Raw genomic sequence first — 25,485 nt, forward strand, 5'->3', positions numbered from 1 at the left:
CTGGTTCAGCCCGCCAGCCCTGGCCCGGGAGCTGTTGAGTGCCGATTCTGCTGAGGAACCCTCGAGTAGCTGCTGTGGAATAAAAATTGCAATCCAACAAGCCTAACTGGAAAATGGGATTCTAAAAGCTCCGGAGTGCTGGGTACATAAAGCTATTTGAGCAAATTACAAGAATCGCTTAGGGGCATGAATGAAATCAACACTTTAATTGCCTCCAAAATGAAGATTTATACCCCATTTTCTCAAGGAATCATTATTTTATTAAAGTCAAAGATAAAAGACCAAAGTTATGGGAATTTTTTGGAGGGGGGAGAGAGAATACAAAAATTAATATAATATCATGGAGCTCCCCCCTTCTCCTTCCCTAAACTTTTGTTACCCAATTCCCTTCAGATATGCAAATATTGGTATGCAATTGTATCGGATAAAACTTCTCATTTTATTGTCTTCTACCTCTAAAATGAGAATCTGACTTCTGGTCCCCGCTGGTTAAGAGTGGGCTTCGAAGCTTTGGCTGAGCTCGTGGCGCTGTTGGCCTATGCGCCTGGGCTCGCTTGTGTGACCCCCTGGGGCTCACCCAAGTTTCAGCTGGTCGGAGGACAGCAAACCCAAGGTCCGGTTTGGAGAGGGGAGCGCAAAGCGCTGGACGCATGCGGTACAGTGCCACGGCCGCCGGTGGGCTCCACTGCCCTGGGGAGCTGAGGCGCGACGAATGAAGCACCAGGGCGCCTGGTGGGCGCCAGTTCTCCGGTCTGGAGCCTGCTGGCCTGTCCCTCCGGGGCGCTGAACCCCTAGTGCGGCGTCCTGGGGGCCGGGCAGGAAGGATGGCCTCTCCACCTGTCTGCGAATGCAGCCCAGCCAGTTTGAGCCTCCGCAGAGGGTGCGCTCCGGGACTGGGCGCTTCTCGTGCTGTGAGAACGCTGGGCCTTGTTAGCTCATTAACCCCTCTGTCTCTAGGGCCCGTTGGCGGCACGGTTTATTTTATTTTACCTGTTTTCCTCGGAGGGCGCGAAGACTGCCACCCGCGCGGGGACCTGGGATCGACGACTTTGATACTAGGCGGTATCCCGGAGGGCTAAGTCGGCGGAAATCCACTTGACCTTGTAGCGTTAGTCCTTTCTTTTCCTTTCCTTTCCTTTTTCTTTCTTCTCTCTTTCCTATTTATTTATTTATTTTAAAAATAGGATTAAGACACCAGTAGAAGCTGTAATCCCGTTCCTTCCCCCACTCCCAGTCTTCCGGGCCGCCTGGAGGTCCCTGCCGGAGAGAGCCACTTTGGCGGGCGCAAGCCTCCTGGGCGCCCTCTCCTGACCGCCGCGCTCTCGGCTCGGCTTGGCTGTTCCGGGCTCCCAGAGGCTAGGGGAAGCGAGGGGCGCCAGGGGCTTCCCGGCCTCAGCGTGGGGCGAGGTCCCGGCTGCGACCCCGGAGCAGAGGGAGAGGGGGGCCATGATGCTAGGCGTCGAGGCGAGGGTTGAGCCTGTTTGGCTTCAGAGAACGATGCGGGTTCGACCGGAAGCGGGGCGCGTGTTCTAGGGGCCCTTGGGTGGATTAGGGGGCGCCAAGAGGGGTTAGGCGAGGAGAGGCCTGGCCACCCAGTTGCTAGACTTTAGGCCGCACTCCAGGAAGGAGCAGTCGGCTTCCTTCCTAGGCCGCTTCTATTGCGCGCCACTCCTTGAATCTAAGCATTTTCCACTCCAAGAACGCGTTGGGAGAGAGGGGAGAGCGGAGCAGAGTCTCTAGGCCCCCAGGGCCGCCTCCCGGGGTGGCCACGCCTGCCGGTAGCGAGCCGAGATTAGCTAGGTCTGTGCTCGGGCCTCAGCGGTGGCCCTGGCTCTTCCCATAAGCAGCGGGAGGCAGAGAAATGGTCCCTTTGGATTACAGTTTTTATTCAACAGCAGCTCTCCGGGGGGTCCTCGTCTGAATCTGCATTTAGCAGCTCCTGGGCGAAGGCTGTCGGGCTGCACAGGACGCCCTGTTGCATGTTAATCCAGATTTGTCTCTGACGTCTGGGGAGAAGTAATATGGCTTGCAGTTATGGAACCAGAGAGCCACGCTCGCCAGGCAGGTTAAATGCCAAGTGCTGCCGAGCTCCCGGGGGACGGCCGCCGGGGCTGTGCAGCCCAGACTGGAGAGCGCAGGGCCGCCAGGCCTCTGGGATCTGGGGCAGGCCGGGCCCGGTGCGCTTTGGTTCCCAAGTGGTCCTGGGAACTCTGATGGCGATTGTTTTATTTCAAAAGTTCACAATGTTGTTTCTGAAGCAGAGTTTGGCTTAAAATCCTTTAAACTGAGGTAGAACTTTGACAGAAAACGCCCTCCTCCGAAGAAGCGGGGGAAATTCTTGCAAGGGAGATTTAAGCTTTCTCTTTAAGGGAGGTGTCACAGTCAGGGATGAGGCAGGGAGGGCAAGAAACAACCTAATGTCCTGCATGGATGGGATCTGCTGCTTTAGAAGCAAATAGATAGGGCCAGCGAATATTTACGAATACTAGAAATGTCCGCAATTCCTTGTCATCCAATAAGAAAAGTGGACACAAACAGCGGGAGGCAGAAAAATGGTCCCTTTGTCAGGTAGTTTGTTTTTAAATGCTTCCATTTGTATACATCTTATTTAAATTATAAATGCTTCGTAGGTTCCCACTTAATGCCTTAATCCTGAAACCTCTCAGTCCACAGGACTTGCAAGTGATAAAGTCTTAGCATCACCTAACTTTACATTTGATTGTGTTGTGGGTCATGTGATATAGTCTTAATTCCTTTTAAAATATATGTCAAATGGAAATTATGGCAAGATTCTCTTTAATGATTAAATAATAAGGTGTTGACTGCTTGTCACTACACTGGCTAATTGGGATGTTCATTCTAGGCCCTTTATTACATAGCACCCTTTGAATTAAAAGTTAGTTGTTTACTGGGTATATTTTTATTGTTACTTTCTGATTGGCTTTTAGTGTGTATTTATGTGTGAGTTTCAGAGTAGGGATGTATTGATTCTTAATAGGGACACTTTTAAAACATTCTAGAAAAAACAAGGGGAAAAAAGTACACCATAGATGCAGATAGGTTGAGATCACTTACATTGGTAAATGTCTCTAAGTCTAAACGCTAATACTACAAAAAATCCTTTGCGTAGCTTCCCTCTCTCTCTGTCTCCCTCTTTCTCTTTCAATCTCTCTCTCAGTGGAAGTCCCCAGTGCAAGTTGCATGAATAATGGAAAGCAATGATACTAATGCTACTTTGTACAAAGTAAAGCCTCATAACAGTAACTATTGTTCAGTGATTTAACTAGCTCCATGGCAGTAGGTCATTCAAATAGCAATTCTTCCCCCACCAGAATGACTCCATTGCTCACCATTCTGAAATATATAGAGTAGTTGTTTTATATAGCTATTGGTCCTAACTTAGAGACTTGTATTAGAAAACATGGAGAATCTTAAATAATAGAGGAAGAAGAGAAGAGAAGGGAGAAAAATGTATTAAAATGTGGGCCGGGCTTTCAAAAAAGTAACTGAAATATCATGCTAGAATTGTCCAACTTTGAAAATATATAAATTTTAAATCATTATGTTTTCAAACACTCATATGTTTAAGTTTTTAAATGTTTGTCATAGTCCCAAAAGATTTAAAACACAGCTGTGGCTGGGTGACAAGAAAAGAAAATATCCAGTAAAATTCTATACTCTTAAAAAACAAAGACTATTTGTGCTCCCATAGTAGAAACTTATGTTTATTAAGGCCAAGTAGATAGACTAAAGTATTACCATGAGGCCTACTGTCCTAAAACTAGCTTACCTTCCCTAGCGTACCTCACAGGTGGAGTTGGAGAAACTGTGAATAATGCATAACAAATTATATTAAGACACTTGCCATAAATGAAAATACTGTCAACATGAATTTAAATGAAGTATTCTCATATTGGTAATGTTATGCTTTCCATTGCAACAACAATATTTTCTTATGAAACATAAATATGTCAAACAAATGTGAAATGCTAAAGTTTTAATAAATGATCATTTAATCATCAAACAAAACCCAAGTATGTATACAAAAACTTTTAAAGGAAAGTCGGCATACAGCCAAATTGCTATAGGGACTAGCAGGGAAATGATCAAAAAATGAACATGAAATAAGACTTCCTGTAAGAAGGTCTATAATTCAAAATTATTTGACTCCACTGTCAGGGAAATAGTTGAAGGATAGTAAACTGATACAGCTCTCAGTCATTTTTGTTACACAGTCTTAAATGTTTGCAACTGTAGCATTTTACATGGCCTTTTGTGGATTATGATATCTGTCATATTTGAATCAAAGTACTACTTTAATTTATGACATAATCGAAACAAAATTTTTTGCCATTTCTCCTGAGTGCAAAAAAATTTAAGAATTAAATAAAAATTATGGGAAAGTATTCTTTTACAAATGAAGAAAAATAGAATGCATGTGACACAGTTTATCTGACAGTTGTGCGGATGTTATTATAGATTTAAAGATTTTCCAGATCCCAAGTAAAACAACACTGCTCTAAATCCCGTTGGGCTTGCTCTTCTTACTAAGCAGGAAATATCAGAATGTAATACCTGTATAAAAAGTTCTGGGCTAAAACATATAAAATACAGTCTCCCAATTTAAGTTTTAATAATAATTACAAAATTTGATTTTTGGCATCCTGTAGAATTTTGAATATTTTGCCATCCTTAATGTATACGAATAAACCATGGGTGTCTAAAATCAATTTTGAAAAGTTCAAGCAAATGAGTGTGTCCATGTAGTGTAAAAGATAAAAGAACATCTTCACTGTATCTTTAATTTAACATGCCATGATTTCAAGATTATAGGAATTTAGAGAAGCTTTTTGGAGTCTTAAACAGACTCTCCAGGAAGTATACCTACATTGGCCAATTGCTGGAATCCCTACACTTGTAAATTGGACATTTGAATAAATGGTATAAAGGATACTATGTGAAATAAGTGAGAATATATTCACTAAAATATTTGTCACTAGAATCCAATTATGATCAATGTAATGCATTCAAGTGCACAGAATTAAAGCAATTGGCAACAATTTACTAGACTTTCTTCAAACACTCTTGCTAAATAGCATTTCTTAATCTAGAAAATATGTTCTTGTTAAAGGAAAATACAAGAGTGCAAATATTTTCCAATTATTTTATATTCTTGACTTCTTGGTTCAGAGTTTCTAAAACTGACTAAAACATACTATCAAGGGTTGATTCTCTGATGGAAAAAGGGCTTATTTATACACATATTGAATTATACACCTGTTGTTTATTGGTGTCATGAGTATATACAATCAAATACAAATTACAGCTGGAGTTGTATAGCTGTATATCAATACAATTGAAGTTTATAATGAAATTGACACAAATTATAGCTATATATGTTTTAAGATATAAAGTAACCATATTATGGTTTTTCCATGACATATGGACCAATTTATGTGGCATACGCTAATGGAGGACAAATAAGTTGAGCAAAGAAGTTTTACCTTATTTGTAATTCTCAAAAATACATTTCTACAGTGGATTCTTCCCTTGTACTTCATAATTCTATTTACAATTAATAGAATTTATACTCACGAAGTAAACAACCTTGAGTGTGTAATGTTATGCTTCTTTAAAAAACTCAAATAAAATCCTGGCATGCACTTATAGTCTCAGCTAATCCAGAGGCTGAGGCAGGAGGATCACTTGTGCTGAGGAGCTGCCAGCTTGGGCAATATAACAAGACCCTGTCTCAAAAACAAGACCAAAAAATCCTTAAATGAAATCATATTATTCAAAAAAAATAAAATGCCTGTTATTATTAATAAGTTTACGAAGTGAAATTTTAAAAATGGCCACAACCTTATGAGTTTAACAAATATTAGCAACTGTTATAGTTGTGCTGCTGCTTTTACGTTTTAACCAAATACAAAGTCTTACATTTTACAATGGACTTAAATATACATTATTTTAACTCATTTAGAAGATATCAGTAAATAAGATTTTTGAGTGATATTAGAATTACTCTAATATCAATATATGACAACATTCTAGTATCAATACCTGGCCACATAAGCTAGCTTAGAATGAATTGTTGCTTGTGAATTTCCATTTCTATAGAATTTTCCTTACACTTTACAATATGGTAGCATGTTTATTATCCATTAACTTTAAATTTCTGGGTTGTTGGTTATTATTTAGAAAGATAGAACTATATCTCTTTCTTTTTCTGATCACTTTTTTTTCTGCCCTTTGGAAACCTTCTATGCCTGAGATTTGAACTTGAGCTAGTTTGCTAGGTCTCATTTTCCTATTGTAGTGCCTTGTGGGTTATTACCCATATGTGGGTTTGTTTTCGTGAGAAAATGAAGAATGTTACTCACTTCAAAACAGGAATGAATAGAGGCCAAAGTCATCAAATATTCCCAACCTGTGCTTTACAATTAGGTGAAAAACTGAAAACTGTGATTCTTATTTGTCTTCCCTAGAGCTGTGAACACTTGGTATAAAGATTAATATTAGCCCCTTTGTGTTCTTCCTCTAAAAGCCTAAATGTTTATTTTCAGCAACTGTATTCTTAACTGATTGTCCATACTTGGTCCCAGACCTCCATAATTTACATTTTATTCTGAATTTGCATTCATATCACATCCCATAGAAACTCTTTAAAGTGAAGTGTGTTTATGACTATTATGAAACTCTGGAAAATGAAGTTTATAATGAAATTGACACAGCCGTCAAAAGGACAGTGAAGAGAGCAATTTGACTGTACATCCAGAGTTTCCTTATCCCATCTCAACTTGTAAAAGGCTTATTTCTCTTCTTTTAAAAATATTAGAAGCTGAATGAATAAGAATTTCTTTGACAATAAACCTCCTCTTAATGTCTCCAAAACTATTTGGATGTGTTTTCGAATATTAACTTAATTTGATAGACAAGATATAATTAACTGTGACCTATAGTGTTTTCTGGTATTCAGAGATTATTCCTTAGCAATTTGAAAACTTAATTTCAAACTACATGATGTATAATTTCTGAAATTCTAAAGGCATACTTACACTATTTACGTGAAGTGGAGTGTTTGTCTACAGAGCTTCAAAATGGAGATACTTTAGAGGTGGAGGAACAATTTTTACATACAAAGTCTTGGCAAACTAGCTAGTGCAGGTGGGCTATTTTTGGAAACTTTTCAATATATAGCCTTCCTATATATTTACTGCAATATTAAAATTTTTCTTCCTGAAGGAAAAAAAAAGCTCTGTGTTTCATACAGAAACTCGTATATGACATTTTAAACCTTCACATTTCATTGATCATAAAATCCAGCCAATATATATATAGAAAATTTGAAATAGCAGCAAATAGGTAAGATGCTATTTGCTATTATGCTACAATCAGAACAGAAACTTTAGCAGTACAATTAATTAGGCATTTTGGGTTTAGTTGCAACATTTACTTGAAAGTTCCCACCAGATCTGGAGTTGTTTTATAATCCACGCTTGAGAATATTTTAGTGTAAAAAATTTGTGATAAATCACCATTGAACATTACTTTTATTTCAAATTGCTCCTTCCTAAGAGATGTAGTGTCAGGAGTAACCACCCTGCCCTTCACTCTTGAACATATAAATGTATTATTTATTTACATTCTATCATATACATTATTTATGGGAATTATACTATAACTCTACAGAGCATATGGAATTCATCTTCATGAGATAAGGGTGGCATCTCTGCCAATGTGGTATAGCCCTAAGTAGATAATTAAGGATTACCCTCAGACTACAGATAAATATTATCTCTTATAGAGTCATTACATGTTTATATTTCATAGCTCCAGATGCAAATGTAGTTTGCCATTTTCATTTTAATTGTCATAGTTTTCTTGGCTCTAGCTTCTAACAAAGAGAAACAGGAATTTTACATTTGGAATTGATCTTGATGATAAATTAATATGTTCAAGAAAAAGAAAGATATTCAGTTGCAGAATTATTTAACCCCCTTCCTTTCTTTCAGCCTGCTTTCCCTGTCCTTAATGTGTTCCAAAATTTTCTGAAGAATGTTGTTCATAAAGTTTGTAGCACTGTTTGTGTATTTGGTGGCTTGGCCTATTGTTTCATTATATTTTGGGTTTTTAAAAGCTGTGTTTAATAACAAAATAAGCAAGAAAAACATCTGAGTTATTATGTCCCGTACTTCTTTGCACAAAATAACAGAGAGATACAGAATATGCTTGTTCTGTGCATATGAAGTGTATTGCTAGTGTTCAATTTTTTTATTCTAATAATTATTCAAAGGCAGTAACAATCTGCATTTAAGTGAGTATAAACATTTTTATTCTGGAATTTGGAATTTGCAGCAACTCAATTTTATTTTCCAAATTACCCTGCCATTTCAATTAGGTGCATTGTTCTTCACTCTACTGTTGCGACATTCTAAAGGTTTGCTTGCCATCCTAATAGTGAATTGTTTGAGTGTTTAATATTTATTGAGGGCATGTAAAGAACATGCCAATAGAAAAATAGGAGAACAAAACATTGACAAATCAATTATGTGGCTTTTCTTTGCTCGTGGTATACTTTCAATAATCCAAATACTCTGTAACTGTTAAATAGTATGAATAATCTCTAGAATAATAGCCTTGGGTATGGCTGAAGAATGACATTCTGATTAACTGGAATTCCTTAAAAAGTGCACAGTGCAACTCAGCATCTTACTTCTGGAATTCACAGTTGCTTTGGCTGATCTCTTAGTTAAGTATCTTGAAATATAGAAAACTTGACCGTTGTAGGAACCAGAAACTCAAATTAAATCTCAAGATGCTTTGAGAAAGGCCTCCCTGATTATTTTACCCAAGATAAATAATGAAGGAAGGGAATAATCTTTTCCCAACTCCAAATTTAACGTTGTCAGTGGGCTTAAAGATGCAGACATTCTTGAGGAATGAGAGACACTTAAAACACAAAATGTTGTAAAAAATATAAAAAATCAGAAGTGCTTCTAAAGAAACCATAGGGAAATTAGAAGATACCCTATTAATAATTATTAGTGGAAATCAGCGGTAAATATAAATTTCTGTGATTCTGTTATTCAAAGTATAATGCTATGAGGTAGTAGAACAAAACAAGACTATATCTTGGCTGAATTTTTTTTTCTTCTTATGTCTCAATTGTGTGTTCTCTGGCTCGAGAGTTTAGAAGTAGAAAAGAGAAAACTTCAGAAACACTTGAGACTAAACAGTTAAGTGTATTGCTTGTCATTTTTAGTTACACATCCTTTCAGGAAGGTGGTGTTCTAATGAACAATATACAATTTAGAGCCAGAGCACTTATATTTGAATCTAGACTTTGCTCTGAGAGGGCAAGTCACTGCACCTTGACGGGCCTTAGTTTAATAATCTGTAAAATGGGGATAGTAACAGTACCCACTTTATTGAGTTACTGTAAGAACTAAATAAAAGTGCATCTAAAACATTTAGAGTAGTAAATCCCCAATGAGCACTTCATTACATTATATTTTATCTTCTTGCTTGTATTCTGCCTAACCTTCAAAAACAGGAATTGGGTTTATGGAGGAAGGATTGGGTGCTGGTTGATGGGGCTGTTGTTTTATAGAGTATTTTATCATCGTAGAGTTTAAGAAAAATATCTTAATTCTTATTATGAGGGGTCAATTTTATTCTGATTTCAGCATAGTGTAAAAGGAGACTGAACTCAGATATTTTACTGAGATAGTATAGTGAATCACTGCAGACTCACTCCTAGGGTAAAATTCAAATAACAGTTATGTAAGGACCCTGTGCTAAGTACTTTTTCCCCACATTTCTGAATACAAATACTTCATGCTGAGGTCTTGTTGCTTTCGGGATGTTATTATCTACTTTTACTCATTATACAATGTTTTCTGCATTATTGGATTTTTCATTTTTTAAATTTTTTTTGCTAGGAGCCTTGCCTAGAAAGTTTGTGGTTGAAGTTGTTTTATATAAAACACTTTTAAGTTTATTTTATCTTAATTTGTTTGCAGAACAAGGAGCACTGATACTAAGTTACGGATGTAAAATAAAACACTGGGAAGCAAACAGTCTTATAAAGAGGATTTTATAACATCAGGTATACTGGCATGTAATTTACTGATTCTTCTCCCACTGCTAAGTAGAAATAATAGAAAATGATCAGAGTTCAGCAGAAAACTCTCAAAAGATAAATGAATAAAACAGATTGAAGTATTTAGGTATACTTATTTGGAAATATAGTGGTATCAGTGGATTAGGGTTTTTTTCAGCCAAACATTTAACTCTATGAACTACAATTTATAGGTATGATTTCAAGAAGCACCTGGAGTCATTAAAGTCAGTAAATATAAGAATTTATTTTTATTAATAGCATGCCAGTTATAATACAATGGCATAGAAAAAGAAAAGGTTATCAAAACATAGATACTTTTACTAAGAATTTTAGCATATTGAGGCTTTATCTTCTCTCTTCTTAAGATTTTTCTCTACAAGAAACTGGTAAGTAGAATTTGAACATTCAGGGCACTTGAATAATTTCTATTACTTACCAGTTTTGAGAAATTGGCATTTATGGTCAATTGCCCTTTGGTTGTAATTATTCCTTTTCTTTGTAATTTGGCTGAATGTACCACATGTAGAAATCTATATTATCTTCTTAGACCACAGTAGGGTCACCATGGGATGATGTTAGCATTGATTGTCAAAGTTAAAGAATTGGGCAAAAAGTATCAGTGCTGTCTTGATTTCATCAGGAAAGCCTTTGGAATATTCTGAGTGTTGTTTTACATCTGTAGACCTCTGCTTAGCATAGTTGATTCACTTGTAATTTATTGGGTAAATTAATTCAACTGTGCAGGTTAATAAATTCCTGAAAATGTTAGAGTGGAGACCTAAAAGACACCAGGCTGTTGAAAACTAGGGTTTTAAGCAGCATTGGGAAAGTGTTCTGTGGTATTCAGTCCTGGCTTCCTAAGGTCCCCACCCTCACTGCCTGCCATAGCAGCCCAGCGCCTGAGTATTGAGAGGAGAATGAAGCATGCTGATTGCAGGACAGTGGGCAAAATCTTTAAGGGATAGCAGATTTTAAAAATATATCTTACAGCCAGGCTGCTTTAAATTCCATTACAATGTAATTAAAAAACCATTAGATTCATTTTTTAACATTCTTTTGCCTTATGCCTTACGTATGTGATAGGTGTGTGTTGCGGTGTGTGCATGTGAACCCATGTGCACACTCATGTCTGAACCCAGGCTTTAGTGATTTCTGAAGCTTGAAGAATCACCTGGTAGAAAACTTTTCACTTAAAGATGAAATTACTCCTTGGAGAATTTTCACCAAAGGCAAGAAAGCACAAAAATTCTTTTCCTCCTCTCTACATGCCTCATTACACAGAGATAGAGGATTCAATGTTTGAAAAATTATCATTTTTGTAGGTTTTATTTGTGGTACGTGAGAACTGGGAAATATGGAACTCTATTTAACAGATGCTATGTCTACCTATACAAACTACCCACAGTGACTATCATATGATTTTTATACACACACACACACACACACACACACGTTTATTTGCAAGCAATTCACCAGAGTCGCTTAGCTGTTAAGGTCTTAGAAATCTGCCTCATTTGATGCTGAAGTGTACACACTTATGCTGTGTATAAAAATACTGGCTGGCACCAATGTAGTGAGTGCAAGACGTAAGAGATGATTACATAACCAAGATGCATTTCTAGATTAAAAGTTCACAATGGCAAATATGACAGGGCTGGAACTGTGAGAAGAGGCAGTGTGGTGTGTTGGTGAAAGCCACAGATTCTGAAGAGGGATGCTGGATTTCCATTGTCTTACCGCTAATTTACCATCTGCCCTGAGTCACCAGAATTACCCTTCAGGCCTCTATTAAGTGGAGTCATAAGCACATTTTATCACAGCATTAAAAAAGGGTTCAACAAGAACCCTGGCAGGGCTTACAGACTTGGCAAAGGTAAGCGAGTGAGGGAGGGGCAGAGAAGGAAATGAGCAAAAGGAGAGTTGGTGGAGAAAGTGGATAAAGTGTGTGAGGGAGGTAGCCTTTTAAAAAGTTGGCCTCTCTGCCAAAGATGAGTGTGGGCCTCCATCAGGGAGTGCCTCAGGCACCTACCACTATTTTCCCAGAACCAGCAATTGCCTCTCTGCATTTTATCCACTTTTCAGCAGTGCACAGTGTGGACTTAGAAAAGGTTTCTCTAAAGTATGCTATTTCACGTCCATATCATTCCTCACAACACTTTAATGTGGCCCCTGAATCCACAGCACGTGTGCACAGTGAAATATTCATTTGTGAATGTTTATGGCATTTCAAAACATCTAAATGCTCAAAAGGTAAGAGCAGTTTTCCTGTGTTAAGAAAAAAAAAAGGCAAAACAAAACATACTGCCTAAACTTGTTGTGGTTAAATGAATTTTGCTTAGTGATTTCTAGGGATTTTTTTTTTTTTTTTTTAGAAATCCACATAACTTTTTTTCCAGAATTACCTGAATTTGAAATTGAGTAGATGTAGCCCCAAAGGAGTATGTTTTGAGAGGAGCAGGCTGTATCTAGCAAATTATAGGTGCTCAATACATGGTAGTTGAGTGGGTTGAATGATTATATGCTATGTTTTGGTTATCAAGCAGATACAAATGTGAGCCACCAAGCATTTCAGTACGAGTTTCAGTATGACAAGACTTTAAATACTCAGACATAAAAAGCCTTCTCAGCATCCCCATTCCCCAGCTTCAGGTACACACAGGTAAATGTGTATTGTTTCTCACAGCAGCTCCTGTGCCCCTTCTCTTCTCCTCATTTCTCTGCATATGGATCTCTCTCTGATCCCTTTCCTCAGATGGTATCATTGATTGAGGAGTGTATAAGAAATGATATTTGCTGAAGTCATGCACCTTTAAGGATCCCGAAAAACACTGTTTAGACAGAGGGGAAAAGTCAAGGGGAGCCGGGCTAATTAGATGCACCCCCCCAGACAGTGTGGGATGCTGACATACAGCGATCCCATTCACTGTGCTTCATGGAAGAGCACAGGTGTGCACATGGGCACATACATACGGACATGGGCAAGCCTGCCAGTGTGAGTGTGCGTGTGTATGCCTGAGTACCATGCACACTGGTGCCTTCTCCATGCGGACCTGGAGACTGTCCTCACCTGGAGATAATAAATTGTTCACTTTTGGAGACAAGCCAGCTCTTTCAGGCCACTAGAGATTACTTACTAAAGAGACCCTGGTGATTTGAGAGAGTAAATGTACCTCCCCAAAGAGAAAGCCGCCTATTGACAGGTGCAGACTGACTTCGAATTTTGTACACTGATTATTTCATCAGTTTCTACGTAGCTGCTAACTGACACCTTCACAGTAAAGATCATCAGACTCTCAATTATCCACCTTTTTGAATGGGACCAGTAGTGTAGAAGTTTTGAAGAAAAAAAAACTCTATTTTTGGTTCGAAAAAAATGATTCTGGCATCATACTGATGTGGTGAATGACTGACTGGGAAGATGTGTCAAGATGCTTTGTATACTGTAAAGTGATTTATAAATATTAGGCATCGAATTAAACTTGATGAGGTGGGGAGGAACAAACCACCTGTAAAAATCATGTTATTCCAAGGTGAAAATAAGATCAGTTTGCATTCCCTGAGCACACAGCAGCTGGGAGATAGCACAAAGCATACCAAGCTGTGCACGAAGCCAGCTCAGGTTAACCATTCTTTCCAGAAGGTCTATACACTGAATATACCTGTATGTAGATACCCCAAGGTTGGCTTAGGTCAACTTATGTTGTTACATTAAGAACTATAGAAGCTGCCATTTATTGAGTGCTTGCTGCATGCTTGACAATTTACATATGTTATGTCTGCAAGGGAGTACTTTTTATCCTCATTTACAGATGAGGACATTAAGGTTTCAAGAGGTTATGACTTACTTAAGACCATGTAAGTGGCCCAATCAAGTTTCCAACAGGACTAGCTTTAAATTTTCTTTCTTTTGACTGTTATGCTACAACTGAGTATTAATCTATTTTTATAGTGGTGTGTGTTTGTGTAAGTGCAAGTATGTGAGGTATATTTAAATTGTACTACTCTTTTTTAGATATTTTGTGATGTCTCTCATATGGGAGAACACAATGCCAGGTGACAATTTAACAAAGATTCCATATGTATTACTTAAGTTATTCATTCAAAAATATATTTGTATCTAATATAATATCAACATTTTCCTAGGATGGAGGATATAAGCATAAATAAGATGTAGGCCAGGATTTCAAAACATTCATAGTGTAGAATTGTAGACAGGCACAGCAGGTCATCACAAAGCAAAGAGTGAAAGGCTAGAAGTGTGCATGAGATGGTCTGAGCTCTCAGAGCAGCAGAGCCTCACTCATCCAGGGGTTGATGTGTATCAGGGAAGGTTTTCTAGGTAAGGTGGTATCTGGGCTGTGCCTTAAATAGCAAGAAGGAGATAATCAGGGGCTGGGGTCAGGCAGGGCAGAGCAAGGCACTGCAGGCAGAGGAGAAGGATGAGCATGGGCCTGGAGCAATAAGCAGCAGAGTATTTGTGAGAAATCATGTGCAATGGGATGTTGCAGGAGCAAAAGAAACAAGGAGAGGAATGGTCCCTTGGGGAGATTATGAAGGGCTTTGTATACCAGGGTAAGGACCTCAGATTGTATTCTGTAGGCAGTGAGGAGCAGTCCATTCATTCAACAAATGTTTCCTGTGTGCCAGCCAACTGTTGGGCACTGTGATTGATAGTCAGGATGCAATGGTGAGCAAAACTGACACCATGTCTGACCTCACAGAGCGTATGATCTGGTGGAATGGAACTCTTTTAAAGGTTGGGAGTGATGAGGGCCTTAACAAGAACAGCAGTCATGAATATGGAATGGGGGAGATTTATTTCAGAACTATTTGGGGGTCAAAAATAGACAAGATTTGGTGACTGATTGAATGGGGAGGTGGAGAGAGAGAGATAGAGAGAGAGCGTATGAATGGCTCTCAGGTTTATACCACAGGTGGAGGATGTGATACCTACTAGGACACGGAATAAAAAGGAATGAGTAGGAAGTTTGGTGGAGACAAAGAGTTTAGCTTTGGACTTGCTGAGTTGAAACAAGTCCACTTTCGGACTTCTTGAGGTGGATGTCTTTGCATGGAGATGGTTTCGCAGGTAGTTGGACATACAAGTCTAAAGACCAAAGAAGAAATTCAGACACACACGTCTGGTAGCATATAGGAAATCAAACCACTGTGGAGGAGGGAATTATCCAAGGAATACCTGGAAAGTGATAAGAGGTCCTGACCTCTGTCCAAATTTAAGGCATAGATTGAAAAAGAGTGAATGGTAGAAGAAAAAAAAGTCACCAGTGGTAACTTTATTCAGGAAGCCAAGATAGTTTTTGAAGTTGCAGTTTGTTTGTTGGGATGTTGGTGGCATAGTGACTAATGAACAATTCAGATTCATTCCCTAAGCACTTGGTGCCTGCTGAACATGAGCCATGCATTGTGCTGAGCTAGGAAAGGAGAAGACAGAGAAGATTAAGATACCATTCTCACTCATGGAGGAGTCAGGGGAGCTCATTCTTTCTATTTTACTACCAGATGCCAGTAAGATTGCCTTAGAGATTGAAAATACCATACATGGAATCAGAAAAAACCCCAAACAACTTATTTTGAAGTGTTCTTAAGAAACGATAGAAGAAAATGGGAGTGTTCTAGCTGTCAAAGAGAGAAGATATGAGGAGAATCATAGCTTGCTTCAAATATTTTAAATGGCTGTCTCTTGGGGCCCTAGAACTAGAAAAAACATGAGCAAAAATTAAGTTAGTTTATATATTATATATCGATCAAGAAGAACTTACTGATGGAGTGCAGTTTCTAGCTGCCTGCCTCCATTTATGACAATAGAAATAGTGTCTGGAGGACACTGGCTGTCAATAACAAGTTAGAGTGTACATTCAGTGATCTTTCAGGTCTTTCCAGCAAAAGATTTTTTTTTCCCAACAACTTCTTTGTTGTTGTTGTTGTTGTTGTTGTTGTTCTTGTTGTTTTGTCTAGCCCTGTGAACATCTCCTAGAGCAGTGGTTCTCAAATTTTGAGAGCACTGTATACCTGTTTGAGAATCTGATAAAAAGTTTTGAACCCTATCCTTTGGGAAAAATATGCAAGTATCCACATAAACCCAAATATTATTCCAACAAGACCACCCTAAAATCTTCCATAGGTGATTCTGGACCTCAGGTTAAGACCTCTTGTCTTACTGGATTTCCAATAAATGAGAACGCAGCCATTGCTTACTCTGAAATTATATACATTGAAGAAAAAAGCCTCTTTGGGACTTAATTTAAAACCATGACTAAGGTTTTTTATTTATCTAATGCCATGCATTCTTGATTTTATTCTGTCAGCCTTACATTACAAGTGGCCCCAAGCAACTCACAACTTCACAGATATGTATGCATAATCAGATGCACATATTTTATTTTAAAAATAATAATGATGTTGTTTGGTGTAACCGCATATAGTCACAGAGATAGGTTATTGTAACTGAACTTCTCTGTCCATGGATTTGGGGGGAGTTCGTTCTGATTAGGGCTGTCTTACATATTTATACTAGAAGAGTTCATGAGCTATTTCTGATACTTAGACTTTAATCATGCTTAATGAACTGAACTAAGCATAATTCTTGTTCTGTTTTTGTAACTTTGTGGATTTCTTCTAATGCTCAGTTTCATGTGACTACTCATTCTTAAATGCTAATACACAAAAATGCTAATTCAAGAAAGGAGCACAAAAGTTAGATTTCACTTCAGAGAAGTGCATTCAGTATTCATAGGCCTTCTGGAGGAGCAAGGCTGTGAGAAGAATGATATTAGGTGAAAAATATTGGCTCCTACCTTTGGTGAACACACAAATTTAAACATATAGGTTGCACAAAATTTGGATAAACTGAGGTGGAATCCAACATTTCTTGCATGAATTCCTGTATAATGTGGCGATAGCTGTGAGAAAAGAGGAGCCCAGCATCTAAGGCCCAACACAATGAAAATGCAATGAATCGGAATGCCTCACAGATCATAGCGGAATCAGAATTTCCAGCAAGGAAAATCTTTTCATGGTGAATTAAGTGGTGGATGAAGAAAAATGGTGATGAAAAAAGGTAGGCACAGATCACAAACACTGGGCTCAGGGCTCACTGCTGAAGATTTAAGAACCTTAGCTAAAGCTATGCAGAATAGAATGTGGAAAATTGAATTTACTAAACAATTAAGCATTGAATTAATCTACATCCTGCACAGTAGAAAAGTGGGGGAGGGAGCAGAGCAGAGCTGAATAAATCAGTGGAGCTCATTAAAAGATAGTGAATATATCAGGTCTGTTGTAGCATAAAGGAGGACAGCTTCCTGTATAACAAGGAATAATTCTTTGGTTCTAAGTCACCTTTTTGGAGTCCTAGTCTTAATCAGATTAACAAACATGCTTCTGATGAGGTTGGTCTGTGGCTCTGTATTTTAGCTTGTTATCGCTAGCTTTTCTATTAATTACCAGTCAGATCACCAGTCAACAATAGTAGTGAGGGACAACATAAATAAAATGAGAGTGCCCAGGAGATGTCACTCGCAGGATCTCATGCATCCTGAAACTCCCACGGGTTCCTGCAGCCTCCCACATGTCTTGCTGGTCTTTTGTTCAATTACAGTTAATGCAATAGTTTGCCATTTTCTCTTTCTAATTATATTTTCAAGTGGGATTTGTAGCACATAGAAAAACATCCTTTTACATGTCGAGGCACCGGGGTTTTGTGCCTGGCATTGTCTGTCCCCTGGGTGCTGTACCATTCTTTCTGCAGAGCTCTGAATAAACAAGTCCCCCTTTTAGAGCTGCAGTTGTACAAACTGAAAATTTATGCATTAACTGTTTGCATTCTGAGCGTGTGTTCCAGATTACGTCTTACAGCATTCTTCTGGTATGCTGCAGAATGCGTGTGTGCAAAAAGCACTTCTTTCACAGTTCACATATCTTTCAATCTCAGAATCAGCAGATCAATTAGCACTGTTTTTGAGAATATGCATAATGGGTCATATTATACATGAGTCAAACATACAAATGGCATATCTTTCTATGACTTTATTTTCATTTTTCAGGCTGCATTAATCTTCTGGCCAAGATTATAGAATAAGTGACAGTGATGCATCTTGTTCAGAAACAGTGACTCTTTCCCTTTGATTCCTATACAGCATGCCTCTTAGATGGGATCTTTACTTTTCTCTCCCTGGGTGTCTGAGACATTTTGATCTCCTCAGCCCTTCTTATCTTCTCCAGGGTAGGAACATAGTTTTCTAGAAATAAGCAAAGAGCTCTTTGATTTCGCTAGGCATACTTAATGATATTGGAAGGGTCAGCAAACTCTACTACTATATAGTCATGAAGCCTGACCTTATATGATTGAAATGATGTATACATATTTTACATACGAGATGATCCTGTTTTCCCACTAATAATCTTGAAGATAAATATCACTTCCTAGTGAAGGACCAGCTTTGTATTTTGCATCATTCCTACTGTGCAGGATGACCAGTGACTCATGAGGCTGTTTTTGAAAGCTAGCACTAAAAGCTAATTAAAATCTTTTCTGGTGATAAAGAGAGATTTGGGAGAGGTGTCGCCATGATTGTTTTCCTCAAGAATTTATTTTACAGCCAATTTTTCCTATCTGAATGTTACTTTCAAATGCACCCAGTGATAAGAAGCAACATCTGTTTTCCGTTCAATAGTACAAGAAGGCTCTGCATGGGGCTGAGTGTACACAGTCCATGTGAATCTATTGTTATTCTCATTCCTTTTTTGTGCCTATGCCTGGTCCATTTGCCATGTACCATCCGGCAAACAGCTGACACATACTAGCTATTATGGACCCAGGCCTAATTGTGAGGTCTTAAAAGCTCTGCCATGTTTGTCTTCTAGGATGAATCAGAGGCCCCTATAAACCACAGTGTTATAGACCACCACTCTCATTTTGCATTTCCAGAGTAGCAGACTGTTGTGCCAGAGGGTTTGTTGATGTTGAAAATATAGTCAGAATCAGTGGCGGCATTTTGTTTTCCTCTTTGCCTGGAATGTTTTTGTTTTCCTTAGTAATAAAGCATGCAATTACTTACAGAATAACTATTTGTAGATATTATTTTAGCTTGGAAGCAGAAACTGGCAAATTATAAATGTGCCAATGCAGCTCTGAGCTGGAACCATGGTTGAAGGGGGATGGGAAAGGTGGCATGGTTATGTGCTCCAGCCCTCCATGGCTTTGTCATTATGCCATGGGATCCTACCAATAAGGGTTCACAGATGCCTCTTATTTGGGTTTCTGATTTGTGCCCCCACAGCCCTCTTGGAACAGAGATCATGATGACACGGCATCTACTCGTTCAGGAGGAACCCCAGGCCCTTCCAGCGGTGGCCACACGTCACACAGTGGGGACAACAGCAGTGAGCAAGGTAGGAGAGATGTTATTCTCTTTTGCTACTTGTTTCATTTTTAAGGATTGAAAAATCAGAAATGTCTAGTGAGTTACTAAGTATACAGTTTTTCCTAGAAGATAAACCCCCTTTAACTTGAGAATCAGCTCATCTTATTTTATTCTCTGACCCTGCTCTTCTGTGCTATTCCAGCTGCTTAACTGTCTGTCACCTGGCCAGCTTCATAAAACAGGGTAGTGAATTGACTCAGGGCAAGATTAGAGAAGTAGCTTAGAAGTTTGAATGTGAATAAATAGTATGCCATTCATACCCTGCTATACAAATAAAAAGTATTATTACTACTTGCCCTCAGAGGCTTTTCAAGAGCTCATGAAGAAACATCCACTAGGATTCCAAGTTAATGATGTCTTAGGATGCTTATAAGGCTGTGAGCCCTTTAGTAGCACATGCTCGGCTTCCCTCTCCACTGGGTTGAAGTCATTTTTTTCTGGTTTTACTTATCTGAATCTCCTAAGTGCTTGACTTCATTGCAAAGCCAGACTAAATAAAATTTAGGAAGACATGGAAAGATAACAGGTTAATTTGTGTTGTCCTGTGAATGCACATACCTATGTGTATGTGAGTGTCCATGGATTATGCATGTTTGACTATAACTAGTAGGAAATAAAGTTTAAACATCAAGCTAGTCTTCAGCAAAAGGGCGAATTGAGTATTCAAATGTCTGTACTGCTTTTCATGAGAGCCCGCTGTGTGGATTTTGTGTTCCATTAATGCAATTAAAGTTTAAAAGAGAATTCTTTATCTGAATATAAAAAGGCTGTTTTATTGAAGTTGACTCTGAGCCCACAGTAGGTACATACTTTAAAATCTGGTTTTATGATCATGTTTCACTGGAGTGCTGTTAGACAACAAAGGAATTTTGTTGTCTAACTTAGTTGGGCTCTACCAATTAAAATTGCAAAGTCTACAATGAATTTAGTGTGATTAATTTGAAAACAAAAACAGGAAAGTTAATTTTTTTGAGGCACATATATGCTGTTTGTACTGGGAATAACTTCAACAAATATAATTTTAAACATTTGAGACATTTTATTGTTCAAAGAAAAGTTGCTGACTTCATCACAACTATAAGCCTAGTAAAAACGGAGCCCAGAATAGTAAACTGGTTCAGAGCTGAGAGGTAACCTCTGACCTCTGACTTTTACTGGAAAATGATATGCAGCATAAATCCAAGGGGCCTTTTTTCTTTCAAGTGTGTGTATGTATGTGTTATGGCGTTGCTGTTCAGAGTGCTATAGTTAAGGTGGTGTCAGCACTTTCAATATAAAGCCCTACTTTCATAACTCTACTTACACTATGAGTTTTCAAAAAGGTGTAAATGGAATATAAATTCTTTTTCCTGTAGCCCAAAATTGCTACATGGGGTCGCAGCCTAGTGTTTGGCTTGTTTCTTTTTCTTTTTCATTTCTTGCTTTTCAAAACTTATATCATCTGAGAATAGGTAGATAGTTCAGCTGCTGCATTGAAGGCTTGCAAACTGCTGAAATGCACTTGAATTTAAAATTGTAATGCATCTGTTTTCTCAAACATAGTATGATAAGAGGATTTTCAGATAGCAAATGCCCAATACCAGTTCTTCCCCTCTGACATGCTGTAACAAGGAATTAGGAGTGTTGTATGCTGCTTCTTCCTTCAACAAGTGTTCTCCAAAGGCCTATTTAATAATTTGATTGTAACTAGGAACTACATATTATTCACATTACTTTCTACTTATAATGTTTCTTCCTATATTTTTTCTTTTTATGTTTTATATTTGAGTCCAATACCTAGTTGTTTTTAGGGCAGTTTCACATAAATTATCTTATTTGAATGATCTCAGCTGAATCATTTAAAAACAATCCTGGGTAGCAGAGTAAGTGGGTCTATCCCCACTTGACAGAGGAGAAGAATAAGGTACAAAGAAGCTGAGTGATTTGTTGAGGTCCCAGTGGAGTGTCAGACCTAAACTTCCAGTTTCCCAATTACTTAAATAAGGTTCTTCTCATCAGACCCTCTTTCCTCATCTCTCTACTAAAAAACTACAGTGAATAACTTCCACTGTCATCAAATAGAAACTTTCTGTGCTGGTTTCCCCTACCCCACCTTTCTGTGCTTGATAACAGAAGCTGTTGGGAGCCCCACCTTCAGTCTTATTTGTCCTTCCTTGTGGGTTTTCTTTGGCAGTTGAATTTATTCCTGCTAAATGCAGAATGATGCCTGAAAGTGTTGCTGCAACAACTTATGCACACTTCCATGCCAACCGTCACCCTTCTAAACCTTTTTTTCATCCCTGAGAACTGCAGAGCTTGGTCTTTGTGCAGCCTTCGGATTAACTGTGCACAGTGGCTTTTCCATGTTTTCCCTGTTTGCCTTTTCTGGCAGGCATGGATGTGTAAGCTGTGCCAGCATTTGGCCTGTAGTACATGTCCTAAATAGTTATTTACACAGTTTGAGTCCATTTTAGTCAACTGGGTAAATAACAGCCCTCTTCAAAAGATTTATAAATCCATAAATATGTCTTTATACATACCCAATAGACAGAAATAACTCAATCTGTCAAGAACATATCCAAAGAGGTGTTTCCCCCACAGACAGGAGTAATACATATTTTAAAACTTTCTCTGACATATTATTTTTACTGCATTTCTTTTTTCCTCATTCCTTTTCCATTTTTACCACTTCATTATGGCACCTGTGGTTAAAAAAAAAAAAAAGAAAAGAAAGAAAGAAAGGAAAGAAAAGAAAACAAAAAAGAAATCCCCTAGGCTTTAGCCCTCTGTTAAATAACCTTATCTGCTACACAGTGGAGGCATGTAACAGGCTATATATATATACATCTCAACTGAGTCCTATTCTTTTGAACTTCCAAAGTAGATAAAATGAAATAAGTTATGCAGGAGATTTTAAATGTTCTAAGATTTCAAAATACAGTAAGAGTTTCTGGTTAGAGCTTCAGCAATTTGGGGAATTTTGAATGACTGATAATTTGCTGAATTAGTAGCTGTTGTGATCAGTGAAAGAGTTTTAGTACACATTTTTACCTAAACATTAAAAAAAGAAATACAAAATCCATGGCTGGGAGCAGTGGCTCACGCCTGTAATCCCAGCAGTTTAGGAGGCCGAGGTAGGGGGGGGTCACAAGGTCAGGAGTTCAAGACCAGCCTGGCCCACATGGTGAAATCCCATCTCTACTAAAAATACAAAAGTTAGCCAGACGTGGTGGTGGGCGCCTATAATCCCAGCTACTCGGGAGGCTGAGCCAGGAGAATCGCTTGAACCCAGGAGGCGGAGGTTGCAGTGAGCCGAGATCATGCCACAGCACTCCAGCCTGGGTGACAGAGCAAGACTCCCATCTAGGAAAAGAAAAAAAAAAATCCAATCGTGGGCATTCTAAAGAGAATGTACATAAGATGTGTAATTACAAAAATATCAAGGTACTATTATTCAGGGATTTAATGTTTATTCGCGATTTACACAATATATCTTTCCCTCAATTCAAATTATTTATCATGATGACCCTTTTTATGATATCTACTTCCATTCAATATTAATACTTGTGGCCCCTTGCAGGAGATTGATTCTTTAATAGTAAAGTCCTTTTCAATTGGCATTTAAGAGGGAGGGCCTCACATCTGTGTTTGGTTGGGGATTCTGTTGCTGTTGCTACAACATTGATTTTTGTTTACTCCATAACTTCCTCAAAGTACTTCCAAAGATACCAGATTGAATCCTTATTTTATCCCTGGCAATTACTTGCTTTATTTTCCCATTTCACAGGAGATAGAAGTAATAGCTCAGAAATATTGAAGAGTAACTCTCAAAGTCAGCTTCAGGATCTTGGTCTCTTGGCTTTGTAGCTGCTTTAGGATGGGGTGTCTGTTTCCAGGGCTGCCAAGTAGTGTCTCATAGGTACGGGAGGTACATGATGGCAGAGACGTGTGGCTTTCGTGTGTCTTTTGCATCCTACTGTGCATGGCTGCCCGCCTAACCATAATCAGAGCCTACTCTAGGAACTGTGTGTTTTGGAGTGGGAGAACTTCAAGCAAATTGGGTGCCTCTTCCCCTAGATTTTTACTGTTTCCCCAAAGGCCTGCCACAGCCACTCTATGCCTCTTAAGCAGCTTCAGCTACGATTGACCACATTTTTGAGTCTGGACAGGTCTCTGTTTTTGCTTTAAAGTTAAGAGAGCTAAATAAATGATGGTAAAAAGATAATAAAATAGAACATGAAGGGCTGTCAGTCAGTGTAGGTATTTCCATCCCCTCACTTTTCAAGTGAGGTCACGGAGGCTCAGAGCGATAAGGAGACTTGTCCAAGGCCACACACCGGCTGGTGCTCAAGCCGGGACTTGAACCCACGCAGTCTGACTCTAGAGCCCAAGCTCCTAACTATGACATCCTATTTGATACACTGTTTTACTGGAGAAACAGATCATTTGACAGACATTCTTTCTGTTAGCAATTTGACAACTCTTTCCCCAGTTGTCTGTACTGAACCTGGCGCTGTGCTCCGTAATGGTGACCTAGCTGTGAATAAGATAGAATCACCTTAAACTCAGAGGGGTAATGTTCTGTTGGGGAGGGAGAACCTAGTTTTGCATGCTAAGTAGAATGATGAATGAAGTATTTACAAAGGGAGCATGATGACTGATATGATTCATTGGTATTATGTATTAAGAGCCTATATCATTTCACTCATTCAAAGACTTAGTGAATTAAGAATAGAAGCATGGGAACAAGTAAAGATATTGCTCTTGCAGAACATTTTCCACTGAAAGCTCATCATATTTTCCTCTTTTGTGAGGATAAAGAAAAAGTATTATTTCTACATGGAAATTTGATGTAATACATTTCAACCCTAAAGGCTTTTAATGATTGCTGGAATCTCTAAAACCCACTTATGAACTTCTCCTTTAGGAGGCAGGACTCAGAATAACAATAGTACCACTTAAAAAAAAAAAAGCAAAACCAGCATGCCAGGATGTTTCTTTAAAGAAGATTAATGCTAAGCACTGCATTTCTCTATCATAATGTATCAATAGTTGCAGTGCCTCCCACTGCCCCATCCCCCTCCACACCAGCTTTTGTGTGAGTCCAGGCAACCTATAGGCAGAAGGCAATTCCATTTATTATTGAGGGGACTCTCCAGGCAGTTGTTCCAGACCTGTGAAGCCAGCAGGCAGAGCGGCCTGAGAGGGGGTGGGGAGCACCGGGCGAGGGAGGTGGGGAAGGGCCACATTATGTTCCAGATGACTGAGTAACGATTTATATATCACTCGCCTTTTTTACATGAAGAAGAAAAGTAATAACAGCCCAAACCCAGGCATTTGAAACAGTCAGCTGTCCGATGAATAATGGGATAGGTGGGAAGGAGCGCTCTGATTGGATGTCTTAATGAGCACATTTCGCACAGAGTTTGGGCTGCAGTTCCCCTTGACCTTTGCCCTTTATTGACCAAACTGACACTTCATTTTTCACATACTTCCAATTATGGCTCGGCTTAAGTGTTGCCCTCCCTCCTTTATTTCTTTCCTATGGACAACTTGAGAGTGGTTGAGGCCACAGAAGATATTTTAATTTGAAAAACTACCGTAGCGACTCAGGTTCAGGATGTAATCTGAAACTGCTGTCACTGCAGCTTTTCAGCTGAAAACACAAAGTTAATACTGCTTGTTTCTAGACAATTTTCTTTAAAAAAAAAACACGAAAAAATCTAACATATTTTACAAACGAAATGATAACCTAAGAACCTTGAAAATGAAGGAAAATGGTTACAAACGGTAATTTTTATTTTTTGTTGTTTCATTTGTCTGTTGGTCACAGTGACTTGAATGATCTCTATTTGTTCACACTTGCTTCTTAAGCCTGTACCTCTCCAGGGACTTCTGGTATTTCAATGGCACTGTAATGATTTTGACTAATACACT

The 25,485-nt window shown here is 38.7% G+C and overlaps 1 protein-coding gene across 1 annotated transcript in view, besides 3 other annotated features; it reads left to right on the top strand.

The window, feature by feature from the left end:
• The window catches only part of MEIS1 (Meis homeobox 1), a 138,745-nt gene that overhangs the window by 9,559 nt on the left and 103,701 nt on the right, over positions 1 to 25,485 (top strand). Inside the window, exon 7 of the mRNA NM_002398.3 lies at positions 19,426 to 19,537. Coding sequence (NP_002389.1) covers positions 19,426 to 19,537 — 112 coding nt within the window. The remainder of the gene's footprint in view (positions 1 to 19,425; positions 19,538 to 25,485) is intronic.
• Positions 1,035 to 1,371: an enhancer, noted in NCBI's record as "E2 enhancer". NCBI's record gives its function as "enhancer in U937 cells" and the evidence as "EXISTENCE:reporter gene assay evidence [ECO:0000049][PMID:24097337]".
• Positions 1,035 to 2,235: a DNaseI hypersensitive site, noted in NCBI's record as "HS 10.6 kb; the nucleotide coordinates are approximate for this feature". NCBI's record gives the evidence for it as "EXISTENCE:in vivo cleavage assay evidence [ECO:0001075][PMID:24097337]".
• Positions 16,324 to 19,277: an enhancer, noted in NCBI's record as "E5 enhancer". NCBI's record gives its function as "enhancer in posterior lateral mesoderm" and the evidence as "EXISTENCE:transgenic organism evidence [ECO:0001131][PMID:24022755]".

Source organism: Homo sapiens, chromosome 2 (genome assembly GCF_000001405.40).
Source record: "Homo sapiens chromosome 2, GRCh38.p14 Primary Assembly".
NCBI classification, from domain to species: domain Eukaryota; kingdom Metazoa; phylum Chordata; class Mammalia; order Primates; family Hominidae; genus Homo; species Homo sapiens.